The sequence below is a fragment of the Homo sapiens genome, chromosome 15, assembly GCF_000001405.40.
Source record: "Homo sapiens chromosome 15, GRCh38.p14 Primary Assembly".
Classification (NCBI taxonomy): Eukaryota; Metazoa; Chordata; class Mammalia; order Primates; family Hominidae; genus Homo; species Homo sapiens.
In genome coordinates this window covers 22,899,994-22,912,495 of record NC_000015.10, presented here as the reverse complement: position 1 = coordinate 22,912,495, position 12,502 = coordinate 22,899,994, and the positions used below count along the sequence as shown (strand labels likewise).

Genomic DNA, 12,502 nt, shown 5'->3' with positions numbered 1-12,502 from the left:
GTCTGCTGTCCCCAAGCATCCTCGCAGCCTGGTGGGTGTGGCGGCCGCCTCAGGCGCAGCCACCACGTGCTTTCACAGGAGGACTGGTGTTTGAAGTGAAAGTTGTTTTTCCTTACGTGAGAGGTGGAAAATGGAGTTGAGTTTCTGAGGTGGGGCGAGGCTGTCGGAGCTGCGAGTGAGTGGCAGAGGCTGCTGGTCACACTGCTGCTGTCCTCTGCAGGTACGTGCTCTACTCCCTGGACCTGTACAATGACAGCGCCCACTACGCGCTCACCAGGTTCAACAAGCAGTTCCTGTACGACGAAATTGAGGCCGAGGTGAGGCCCCTGCAGCTCCATTTCTGTTCATTTCCTTCAATTAAATCTCCTTTCTCTTTTTGTTTTCTCCCAAGTATTCAACTTTCTTTAAAATATAAGACAGTATAAACCACGAAGCAAGCATGTGGGAGCAAGCCCTTCCTCTGTGGATATGCTTCCACGATGAGTGCAGGATGCGCTTTTTCACTTGACCGTGTGTCACTGCGGTGTCTGTGTCCTCATCTATTTTTGGTTATGAGCATGATCTTTGATGTTCAACTGAAGCAACTCCTGTTTTATTTCTCTATTTTTTTGGTTTTGGATTTTATAAATAGCACTCTGCTGCACTCCCTGGCATGTTTTTTATTTGCATCGCATGACTTCTATAGGACAAATTCCCACAGGTGGAATTCTCAGGTTAGTGTATGCACATTTAAGGAGATGAACCTTATTCTACACATCATCTCCTCTGCCTTCTCACAAAGACCACCTGAAAATGGTGCTTCAGGGAGATGTCACAGGTCCCCGGCCCTGCAGGATGGGAGGAGGGCAGAGACGCCCTTCTTGGCCCTGTCTGCTGGGCAGATGGGTCCTGGGTCCCACTTGCCACGAAGCACAGGTATTCTCCTCACAGTTCCAGGAGATAGTGCGAATCCCATCTGCAAGTAAGGGTCTTTTGAGGGTACCTCCTGACCAATCTCACACCCAGAACAGCCGCTTTGCTCCAGGGAAGGCCCTCGGTGGTGCCTCCTGGAGTGCACAGTAGGCGGAGCTGCCCCAGGGCAGGAACCCACCTGCAATGCACAGTAGCTCCTCGTGGTCACTGCACACAGTGAAGAGAGCCTTGTTGATTCTCTCTTGCATTTCAGAGAATAGGAATATTTTTCTCCCTCAGTAAGATTGGTTCTAGCCTAGTTTTCTGTGGCAGTGTGGTAGTCACTCCTGGCCACACTGCAGTTTATTTAGTGTGCTGTTGTTGGACAGTAAGATTATTGCTAGTTTCTTTAGTTTATTTTTCTTTTTTGAGGTGGAGTCTTGCTCTGTCGCCGAGGCTGGAGTGCAGTGGTGTGAGTTCAAGCGATTCTTGTGCTTAGCCTCCCGAGTAGCCAGGACCACGGGCACGTGCCACCACACCAGGCTAATGGTGGTGGGCACCTATAATCCCAGCTACTCAGGAGGCTGAGGCAGGAGAATCACTTGAGGCAGAGATTGCAGTGAGCCAAGATCGCACTACTGCGCTCCAGCCTGGGCAACAGAGCAAGACTCCGTCTCAAAAAAATAAAAGAGCCTCAGTTAGTTGCCTTAACGAAACATTTTGTTTTTCACCTTGTTATTTGATCTTGCTTTAGGGAATCAAACTGTAACGTGTGCTTTCTTTTTCTTCAGGTGAATCTATGTTTTGACCAATTTGTTTACAAGCTAGCAGACCAGATATTTGCCTATTATAAGGTTATGGCAGGAAGGTGAGTATCTGGTGTGTGATTTTGATACAAAACGTTTCATAATTTGATCTGACATTCCCATTACAATTTATGGCGTATGAAAAACTTTCTGTCTTCCTTCTACACTAGTTTGCTTCTTGATAAACGGTTACGATCAGAATGCAAGAATCAGGGAGCCACGATCCACCTCCCGCCGTCTAACCGCTACGAGACGCTGCTGAAGCAGAGGCATGTGCAGGTGAGCTGGGGCCGGGCTGTGGTGGGGACGTAGAGTGTGCATTGAAAAGACTGGGTTTTCGGCTGGGTGCGGTGGCTCACGCCTGTAATCCCAACACTGGGAGGCCAAGGTGGGCGGATCACCTGAGGTTAGGAGTTCAAGACCAGCCTGGCCAACATAGCAAAACCCCATCTCTACTAAAAATACAAAAATTAGCTGGGCGTGCTGGTGGGTTCCTGTAGTCCCAGCCGCTCTGGGATGCTGAGGCAAGAGAATCGCCTGAACCTGGGAAGTGGAGCTTGCAGTGAGCTGAGATTGCACCACTGCACTCCAGCCTGGGTGACAGAGTGAGCAAGACTCCGTCTCAAAAAAAAGAAAAAAAAAATGATTGAGATTTCTTATAGCTAGCTAGGTTTAGATATCAGCATGCCTTGTGACTGTGAACGTCCTTATAAATTGTTAGGCATTGAAAGACACACCGTTTCTATTGGGTCACCTCACACACAGGGAACACCTGCAGCATTCTGTATCTGCCCTGCGGCTCCTGGGGGCAGGCATAGCCCGGAGGGGTCAGCCCTTCTCCAGGAGCCCAAAAGCCAGAGCTTAAAAAGAATGAAGGTGAGAAGCACTCATCAGCTCAGAGTATCAGAGAAAACTTTCTCCTGGCCAGCAGGAAGAATTTAAAGATATACAGTGCTTATTTTTTACAGCTTTTAAAAAAAGATTCACATTGCATGCCTGTATTAAAACATCTCATGTACCCCATAAATATGTACACTTACTGCGTACCCACAAACATTAAAAAAAGAAAAAAAATTAAAAATTAAAAGTGATGTTACATTACACACACAAAACTAGTTAGTAAAATATGGAAAACTAAAAAAAATTGCATTTAATTCTACTCTCTATACACGAATAATCATCATGCACATTTTTGGACATTTTCACCAGGGCTTTGTCATATTTTTATGTAGTTAGAACAACACTGAAGTATGGATATGTTCCTAGTAGGCCAAAATAGAGATGGAGTAATTTTATTTATCGTCATAACACCTGTAAAAAGACACACACAGGCTGCCATGTATGTGGGGAGATGGGTCTTGAACGTGGTTGTAAAGGGTGTCGTTATTGACAGACCAGCTTCTCCAGGGTCTCTGGTGAGGCGTTTGTTGTTTTCGAGCTGCTCATGTCCACTCTTTACCTGCCATCCTTCCCTGTGTACGCCAGCTCCTCGGCAGATCAATAGACCTCAATCGTCTGATCACCCAGCGCGTCTCAGCAGCCATGTATAAGTCCCTAGAACTGGCGATTGGACGATTTGAAAGTGAAGATTTGACCTCCATAGTTGTAAGTAATTTCACTTTGCCCTATTGATAAATTGGACTAAGGGTAGGTCCAGTTCTTGTATAGATGATAAAAGAGATGCACTCATCGGGCGTGGCCTATACCAAGCCTCTTGTATAGATAATAAAAGAGATGCACTCACTGGGCGTGGCCTATACCAAGCCTCTTGTATAGATAATAAAAGAGATGCACTCATCGGGCGTGGCCTATACCAAGCCTACACTCAGTGTTCACAATGCTAAATTGACTTAACAAACACATAACCCCAATCTTGAAAAAATCGCCAACTATGGCAAAAGGTAGCACACCACTTAATAACGTGTTTACATTTTAGTATGAACGAGCTAGGAGATAAAAATGTTTAACTTTGGCTGGCACGGTGGCTCATGCCTGTAATCCCAGCACTTTGGGAGGCCTGCGGGGGTGGATCATTTGAGGTCAGGAGTTTGAGACCAGCCTGGCCAACATAGTGAAACCCCATCTCCACTAAAACTACAAAAATTAGGCGGGCGTGGTGGCAGGCACCTGTAGTCCGAGCTACTCCGGAAGCTGAGGCAGGAGAATCGCTTGAATCCAGGAGGCAGGGTTGCAGTGAGCCCAGATCGCGCCACTGCACTCCAGCCTGGGCGACAGAGCAAGACTCTGTCTCAAAAAAAAAAAAAAAAAAAAAAAAAAAAAGAAATATCTTCTTTAGGGACCAAGAGAGCCCACAAGGGTCTTCCTGCTAATTCTTCTACCCCTACATTTCGCTTGGCTGTCTGAATTCATCTCATCTCCAGGTAAGGTCTAATCCTTCTCCTGTTATCTGGACCTTCAGGTTTCCCAGTGAGGATGTGTGTTCGGGGCCAACGTTCCCCGCTCACCCTCTTTGGGCGCTCACCCATTTTTCGGCTGTCTCACGGAGCCTACAGAGGCAAGCCGCTTCCTTCAGAGGGTCTTTGGATTCTCTGCTTTCCTGGTATGTTCCTGTGGTATTTCTTGAAGCAAAAATTTGCAGTGTGAGTCTTCACACACTGCTGTGTTCGTCTGAATGGGAGCTGCCAGTTAGTCCTACCTTCTGTCTGCCATTTTTCCCTGTGTCTCTATCACAATTTGAACACAGGAAGAGGCAAGACTAAGGAACAGGAAAACAGAGGTTAAAAACATCTGAACTGGGGAACAGAGAAAAATAAAAATGAATGAGACAGAAAAGAGCATAAGAAATGTAGAAAACAGTGGAAAGACCTAACGTGTAACTGGAGTGTTAGAGGAGATGAGAGAGAGAGTGGTGTCACGGAAGACTTGTCTGAAGAGAAGATGGCAGAAAGACCTTAACGTGGACAGAAGACACCGGCCTGCCACTCAGGTGTGCCACCCAACTACACATGCTGGAGCCAGGGCCGGAGCCACAGGGGGACCTCAGTGAGCGGGCCCCCGAACCACAGCTCTGTGGATCACCTGACCACCCCCCAACTCTGACCCTCGGCCTGTGGTGCCTTTGAATCTTTAGGATTTAATCAGAGCTAGTAGGCAGTAAGCCTGAATGGGCTGGTTGTCTTCCCTTCTCCAGTGCGTGGTCATTGGTGCATGGCCACACGTCCGTTTCCACTGTGGGAGCAGGGGGAGGGTTTACAGTGTGCATTTTCTAACAAAATGCACAAGGTCCTTTCTCCCCTTCACCCAAGGAGCTCTGGGTCTGAGAACTGGTTGAGGAGCCATGAATTTCTTTTATGATGATTCAAGTTAGGCTGGTATTGGTCGGCCTAGGGCTTTTCCCTTTATCCAGATCAATGAGACTTCCGAAGGCCGATCGTTTGTGCCAGCCCTGGGGATACCACAGTCCTTTAGTCAACACTGGCACCCCTGTGCCAACGCTGGCACCCCTGTGAGTCAGGCAATTTGAGTACACATGAGTTGTGCTGCCCGCCACCTGGCACCATTGGAGTCAAGGAGCCCAGGCTGGTGGCCTACAGAGAATAATTTAGACAGAGCTCTTCAAAGATGCCTGAGATGAGAACAGGTTTCAGGGAGCTAAAACAGTAGGCCCTGCTGACTCTGGAATTGAATAAATCAAAATTCCCTCCTAAGACAAAGCTGCCCATGGGAGAAGCTGCTGGGAATAGCATGTAAGCTGGTAAGGGTTAGGATCATGGCGGAGGGGAGCATGAGAGGCAGGTCTCAGAAGGCTTGAGCCAGTGCTGTTACTCTTGGCCCTGACCAACCCCTCTTCCTCTTCAGAAGCATGAGAGAGCTTATTTCACTTCCAGTCGAGCCACAGGTAAAGATCATGGTCCAATCCCCTTTAGACGTATTACACTAAAAAAGAAAATGTAAGTGCACAGCAGTGTCCCTACAGACAGTGGAGGCACGTCAGACAGACACCCACGGACCATGGAAACTGTAACTTCATCTTTCACAGTGAGCTAAAAGAAATGAAGAAAGTAGTAGTTGCTGGCCGGGCGCTGTGGCTCACGGCTGTAATCCCAGCACTTTGGGAGGACGAGGCGGGCGGATCACGAGGTCAGGAGATCGAGACCATCCTGGCTAACATGGTGAAACCCCGTCTCTACTAAAAATACAAAAAATTAGCCAGGCTTGATGGCGGACGCCTGTAGTCCCAGCTACTCAGGAGGCTGAGGCAGGAGAATGGCGTGAACCCGGGAGGCGGAGGTTGCAGTGAGCCGAGATTGTGCCACTGCACTCCAGCCTGGGCAACAGAGCGAGACTCCGTCTCAAAAAAAAAAAAAAAAAAAAATAGTAGTTGCTGTGAAAGAATAATATAAATGAGAATTTTTAGAAATCCAGAAATAGGCTGGGCACGGTGGCTCACACCTGTAATCCCAGCACTTTTGGAGGCTGAGGTGGGTGGATTGCCTGAGGTCAGGAGTTCAAGACCAGGCTGGCCAACGTGGTGAAACCCCATCTCTACTAAAAATACAAAAAATTAGCCGGGCGTGGTGGCACATGCCTGTAATCTCAGCTACTTGGGAGGCTGGGGCAGGAGAATTGCTTGAACCCAGGAGGCAGAGGTTGCAGTGAGCCAAGATTGTACCATTGCACTCCAGCCTAGGCAACAGAGCAAGACTCTGTCTCAAAGAAAAAAAAAAATAAATCGAGAAATAAGGTTATTGGAAAAAAGAAAGTTTTGAAAAGAGAAAAGGCCGGGCACAGTGGCTCATGCCTGTAATCCCAGCACTTTGGGAGACTGAGGCAGGCAGATCACGAGGTCAGGAGATCAAGACCATCCTGGCTAACATGGTGAAACCCCGTCTCTACTAAAAATAAAAAAATTAGCCGGGTGTGGTGGCGGGCACCTGTAGTCCCAGCTTACTCGGGAGGCTGAGGCAGGAGAATGGCAGGAACCCGGGAGACAGAGGTTGCAGTGAGCCGAGATCGTTCCACTGTACTACAGCCTGGGTGACAGAGCGAGACTCCGTCTCAAAACAAAAACAAAAAAAAAAACAGAAATAAGAATGAAGGCTGGGCACTCGGTGGCTCGCTCCTATAATTCCAGCACTTTGGGAGGCCAAGGTGGATGGATCACGAGGTCAGGAGATCGAGACCATCCTGGCCACCATGGTAAACCCCGTCTCTACTAAAAAATACAATAAATTAACCAGGCATGGTGGCACACGCTTGTAGTCCCAGCTACTCGGGATGCTGAGGCAGGGGAATCGCTTGAACCCAGGAGTTTTTGAGGCTCTGTCTCAAAAAAAAAAAAAAGGAATGAAAAGAGGGAACATTTTTAAAATCAAAAAGAAATTAAAGCAGAAAAAGGATTTGAGAGGAAATGATGTTCTCAGATGATCATCATCATGGATGATGAAGATTCAGTGTACCTGTCATACAGCTTCCTCAAGAAGAAAACCAAAGCAACGGAACAGGGCCGACTGGCATCTATTTCAAGAAAATATTGATAAAATAGAAGACACCTTGAAAGTGTCTATTAAAAGCATACATCATGTATTTGGTAAAACCGACCCAAGCTTGTCAACACTTAGAAATACTGCATCTTAGGCTGGTTGAAGATTAGAAAAAATAATAATAATACATTTAAAAACGGTATTGCAGTGAAAGTTTTGGACTTTCCAGGTGAGGAAGAAGTCCTTGGGCTGTCTGAGCAGGGCAGGCAGGGAAGGAAAATCCGATTGTCCTCAGACCTTCACCAGAGCCAAGGAAAGGAACTGTGAATCGAGGGTTTGGTCGCCAGCCAAATTGATCTTCTGAGAATAAAGGCTGCAGACAGATGGTAATGAACGTGCCAGGGCTCCAGAGGATTGTTCATTCCTGGAGAACAGACCTTGGCTGGCAGACACTGGGCGCTGGCGGGCACAGTGCGTGTCCCTGTGAGCATCTCTGCACTTCAGAGCAGGGCCCTGCGTATTCATCCTTAGAGTCAAACAGGCTGGGACTCAGAGACAGACCTGTGGCGGCCTTTTTCTACGAGCGTAATTTGGTACAGGCCATGGTGTTTCTGTTGGCATTGGCCAAATATGATTTTGAGTAAAATCATTGGTCGAGGCTTTGATCGAGGCCATTACTGTCCAATAGAAATAGAACACAAGTCAGATCCGTAATTTGAAATTTTCCCATAGTCTCATTAGAAAAGGAAATAGGTGAAGTTATTTTTAATAACATACTTAATCCACTGTATCCCCATATTAATTCACCACGTCATTCCTATGGCAGTATAGTTGAGGTGGGTATTTGCTAGTCTGTTTTGTCCTACTCAGTCTTTGAAATCTGGTGTCTCATGTAGTGCGCCTCAGGTGGGAGCAGCTGTGCTCCGGCCCCGGCTGCCACATCGGACAGTGCAGCCTGGGCGAGCTCCAGAGCAGCGCACGTGAGGGCTTGCAAGGCCTGTGGGAACAAGTGCACCTGCCCTGCCACCCACACGTGCCTTTCAGTGACTTCAGGCACCTCAGAGAAAGCTGGCTCAGCTCCAACGCCCAGGGAGATGCAGCCGCCGGCTGGGTTATACTGCAGGGCAGGGCCGGGGCTCAGCGGGCACATGGGGGGAAGGGTGGCAGTAGCAGGCCACACGTGCACGCTGCCCCACAGGGTGCTGGACAGCAGGGGTAGGTGGCGTGGAGGTGACTGCAGTGGAGAAAGGCATGACCCAGTGGGGGTGACTGAAAAGGTGGGGTGCCAAGAAGCAAGCTCATGTCACCTGTCAGAGCCTACGCTCACTGGGGGCTGCCTCCGTGCAGCCCTGCCAGGGACTGTGAGGCCTGGGTGGGATCAGAGGCCACTCGGCGCCTCCTTCCTGCCTGGACCAGCTCTGTCACCCACCCCTGTCTTTGGTGCCACAGGAGCTGGATGGCCTGTTGGAAATCAACCGCATGACCCACAAGCTGCTGAGCCGGTACCTGACGCTGGACGGCTTCGACGCCATGTTCCGGGAGGCCAACCACAACGTGTCAGCGCCCTACGGGAGGATCACCCTGCACGTCTTCTGGGAGCTCAACTATGACTTCCTGCCCAACTACTGCTACAACGGCTCTACCAACCGGTGAGCGTGCCCGCCACACAGGCGCCCACAGGCGAGGCGCTCAGGGACCCATGTCCCCGCAGGCTTCCTCCATGTCACCAGGTCCCTGTCTCCCTGCTCTTGCTGCTCCCCATCACTTCTCACATGAAGAGCACGCAGGCCCTCCAGTGTCTTCTGTGTGCACAGGCAGCCTCGGGTCTACCCTCGGGTGGATGGTCATGGCTTTGCACGTGGGGCTTGCGTGGGGCTGCATCTCCTGGCTTTCTGTTTGCCTGATGGTGGAAGTGGGGTGAGTCTGCTTCTTATGCTTCCGTGCTGGCATGTTGGAGTGTGGGGAAGCCACCCTCCCACCCACCGCCCATGGACAGCATGAAGTGATGTGATTGGTGGTGAAACGGTGGATGCTGGCAGTATCCTGAGGTTCAGCCTCATAGTAGGGCCTGAGTCCTGGGACAGCCCTGCCCTGGGCTCCGCACACCGGGTGGCGGTCATTCTGGCTGAGGTTCCTTCTCTGCTCACTGAGCTCAGCATCTATACAGTGTCAGCGCGTGCCAGGGACATGTCTGTGTCACCCACCATGCCTTCCCATAGACACCAACAGCCTGGGGGGATGACCAGGGCACCAAGCAAGGTGCCTGGCCACTGAGCTCCATCCAGACGTAGAGGAGTGCAGGTGTGTGCACATGCGAGTGTTAGGAGCACTTTTACAAATAAGTGCTTGTGCTTGCCTCTGATCTCCGCGTCCCACCCACATGTGGCTGAATTCTTACTGACTTGTAGGCCCAGAGTTTTGTGTCTCAGGAGACAGGATGCCGAGCTCTGATGAGAGCTCTGATGAGAGAGAGGAGAGGCGCAGCTGCCCCACGGCCCAGTCCTGCCTGCTGTGGCTGTCGTCTGTTCAGGACCCCTGGGTGCAGGACCGCGTTTCCTGTGGGGCCGTGGGTCAGGCCCAGGTGTGTTGCATCACTGAGGCCATTCTCCAGGGTCATGGCCACGCGCTCTGGGCTGCAGGTGGCAGCACCTGGCTTGGCTTTTCAGCTCAGGGGGCCTCCAGGCCGGGCTGGGAGTGGTCCATGGAAACCAAACCGTGAAGACCACCGTCTCTGTTTAACTCACCTTTATGGTGTCCATTTTCCTCAACATTTTTAAAAGATGTTTATGCTTGGAATTAATTGCAAAAATATTCTTACACAAGTAATATATCAAAATTATAGAAAAATGGGAAATCATGGATACATAGGAGAGAAAAATGAGTGAACTCCCCAGAGGTTTCCTTGGTAAAAATGTATTTGTCCTCTAAAGTGAGGCATGGGCGGCCCTCGGCCTCTCCATCCCGAGTCTGCACCCCTGCAGTACCACATACATCACAGCAGCAGGGAGGGGATGGCCAGGCGCCTCCTTCCCCACACCCCGGGAGGTGACGTGAACACTTCTGTGTGCAGATCAGCACGGTGCACCCAGTGCCATGCGTGCAGCTGCTCAGAGCCATCTGCTGGGGCCTTACACCCAGGTAGCTGCACTCGTCCCCACTGTGGGCGGCAGGAGGCCCCTGGACCCATGGGGGACCCTGGACACAGGCAGGCTGGTTCCATCTTATCTGGAAACCAATTTCATGTGTGTCACCTGTTTCCCCAAGAGACCCAGAGCTGCTGCCTCGGGCCATACCTGTTGGGCAGAGGTCAGCATGCAGTGACCTCAGCCTCCTGGTGCCTGGGGACACTTGAGGTGTGATTCACAGGGAACCCTAGCTTGTCACAGGGGCATTTTCTGCAGAAGAGCTCCGGTTTACTCAGCAACCTCCACCTTCCGTGAGTGTTGGTAGAAGCCATTGTGTCTGCATTTCCCACAAGTCTTTGGTGGAATCAGGAGAGCTGTGTTATCTGGGAAAGGCATTTTAAAACAGGATTTTGCGTATCCAAGTTCTGTGTCGAATCCTGAGAAGACACATAAACCATGCTACCCGGAATTTTAGTCCCATGCCTGAGGGTTTTCTGAGAGCTACATGGCACAAGCCAGGACTTTGCTCGTTGCCTGGCCTAACTTCCGGTTAGTGAGCTACGTGTGGTGGCTCTAGGAGGTGACCTAGGTGGTCTGCGACTGGAATTTAACCTGTACAGTGGGTAAATGTGTGACAGTGCTGCAGCTCTGGAAAGAAGCTGGCAGAAGGGTATTTCCTCAGTCCAGAGTTAGGCCTCTTTTCCAGAAGACCATAGATGGAGGGCGTGTCCTCAGCGGGGCGCACCTGGAGCCCAAGGCGGCAACTGTCCCCTCACTGCTCATGGTGACTTCTGTCCCTGGGGTGAGGTGGTGGCTGCCAGGTGTTCCCACTGTCATGTTACCATTTTTCTGTTTAAAAGTTATAATTTGTAGGGAGATAATTTGAGATGATGTAAACAAACTCCCTCATTAAAATTTGTCCCGGTCGTTTTAACATCTGTCGACGATTCCTGTCCGAATCAGTTATCTTCACACTGGTGGTTGAACAGCAGTGAGTTGTTTTTTTGGTTTTTTTTTTTGTTTTTTTGTGACAGAGTCTTACTCTGTTGCCCAGGCTGGAGTGCAGTGGTGTGATCTTGGCTCATTGCAGCCTCTGCCTTCCGAGTTCAAGCGATTCTCCTGCCTCAGCCTCCGGAGTAGCTGGGATTACAGATGCATGCCACCATGCCTGGCTAATTTTTATAATTTTAATAGAGACAGGGTTTCACTATGTTGGCCAGGCTGATCTCAAACTCCTGACCTGAGATGATCTGCCCGCCTCGGCTACCCAAAGTGCTGGGATTACAGGTATGAGCCACCGTGCCCAGCTGAGTTTTAACTCCTTCATTCCCTCTGCAGGTACTAGCTGGAATTCTGCTGTACGTGGTAGCATTTGTTTATTATTTGCTTATTTGTACTAAGGATTATCCATTACTGTGGAGTTTTGAGGCTGGGGTGGGTGCGGTTTGGGCAGTGGGAGCTGCCTGCTTGGTTTCAGTCTCCTGGGGCCGTCTCCACCATTCTTTCTGCACCACAAGATGTTCCAGGCTCGGCCAGGCACGGTGGCTCATGCCTGTAATCCCAGCACTTTGGGAGGCCGAGGCGGGCAGATCCTGAGGTAGGAGACCAAGACCATTCTGGCTAACACGGTGAAACCCTGTCTCTACTAAAACAATACAAAAAAATTAGCTGGGTGTGGTGGCGGGCGCCTGCAGTCCCAGCTACTTGGGAGGCTGAGGCAGGAGAATGGCGTGAACCCGGGCAGCGGAGGTTGCAGTGAGCCGAGATTGCACCACTGCACTCCACCCTGGGCGACAGAGTGAGACTCCGTCTCAAAAAAAAAAAAAAAAAGAACAGAAATTTATTCTCTTACGGTTCTGGAGTCCAGAAGTCTGGAATCAAGGTGTCAGCAGGACCACGCCCCCTCTGAGACACTGGGTAGAGCTGTTACTTCTGGCGGTGACCTCAGTTCTGGGTGTTCTTGGCTTGCAGTGGCATCACTCCAGTCTCCTCTCTGTCTTCACTTGCCACTGTCCCTGTGTGTCTCTGTCTCTTCTCTTCTCGCAAGGACTTCAGTCATATTGGGTCAAGGACCTACCCTGCTACTCCAGTATGACCTTGTCTTAGCCAGACACATATGTGGTGACCCTCTTTCCAGCAGACTTCACATTCTGAGGTACTAGGAGTGAGGATTGAACATATCTTTTTCGACGGAGTCTCGTTCTGCCACCCAGGCTGGAGTGCAGTTGTACAGTCT

At 50.2% G+C, this 12,502-nt stretch overlaps 1 protein-coding gene across 10 annotated transcripts in view; it reads left to right on the top strand.

Moving 5' to 3' along the window:
• CYFIP1 (cytoplasmic FMR1 interacting protein 1) overlaps positions 1-12,502 on the top strand; it is a 113,847-nt gene that overhangs the window by 68,403 nt on the left and 32,942 nt on the right. For all 10 annotated transcript variants that reach the window (NM_001324119.2, NM_001324120.2, NM_001324125.3 and 7 more), the window contains 5 exons: positions 221-317; positions 1,683-1,759; positions 1,868-1,976; positions 3,183-3,302; positions 8,591-8,790. In NM_001324119.2, coding sequence (NP_001311048.1) covers positions 221-317; positions 1,683-1,759; positions 1,868-1,976; positions 3,183-3,302; positions 8,591-8,790 — 603 coding nt within the window. The remainder of the gene's footprint in view (positions 1-220; positions 318-1,682; positions 1,760-1,867; positions 1,977-3,182; positions 3,303-8,590; positions 8,791-12,502) is intronic.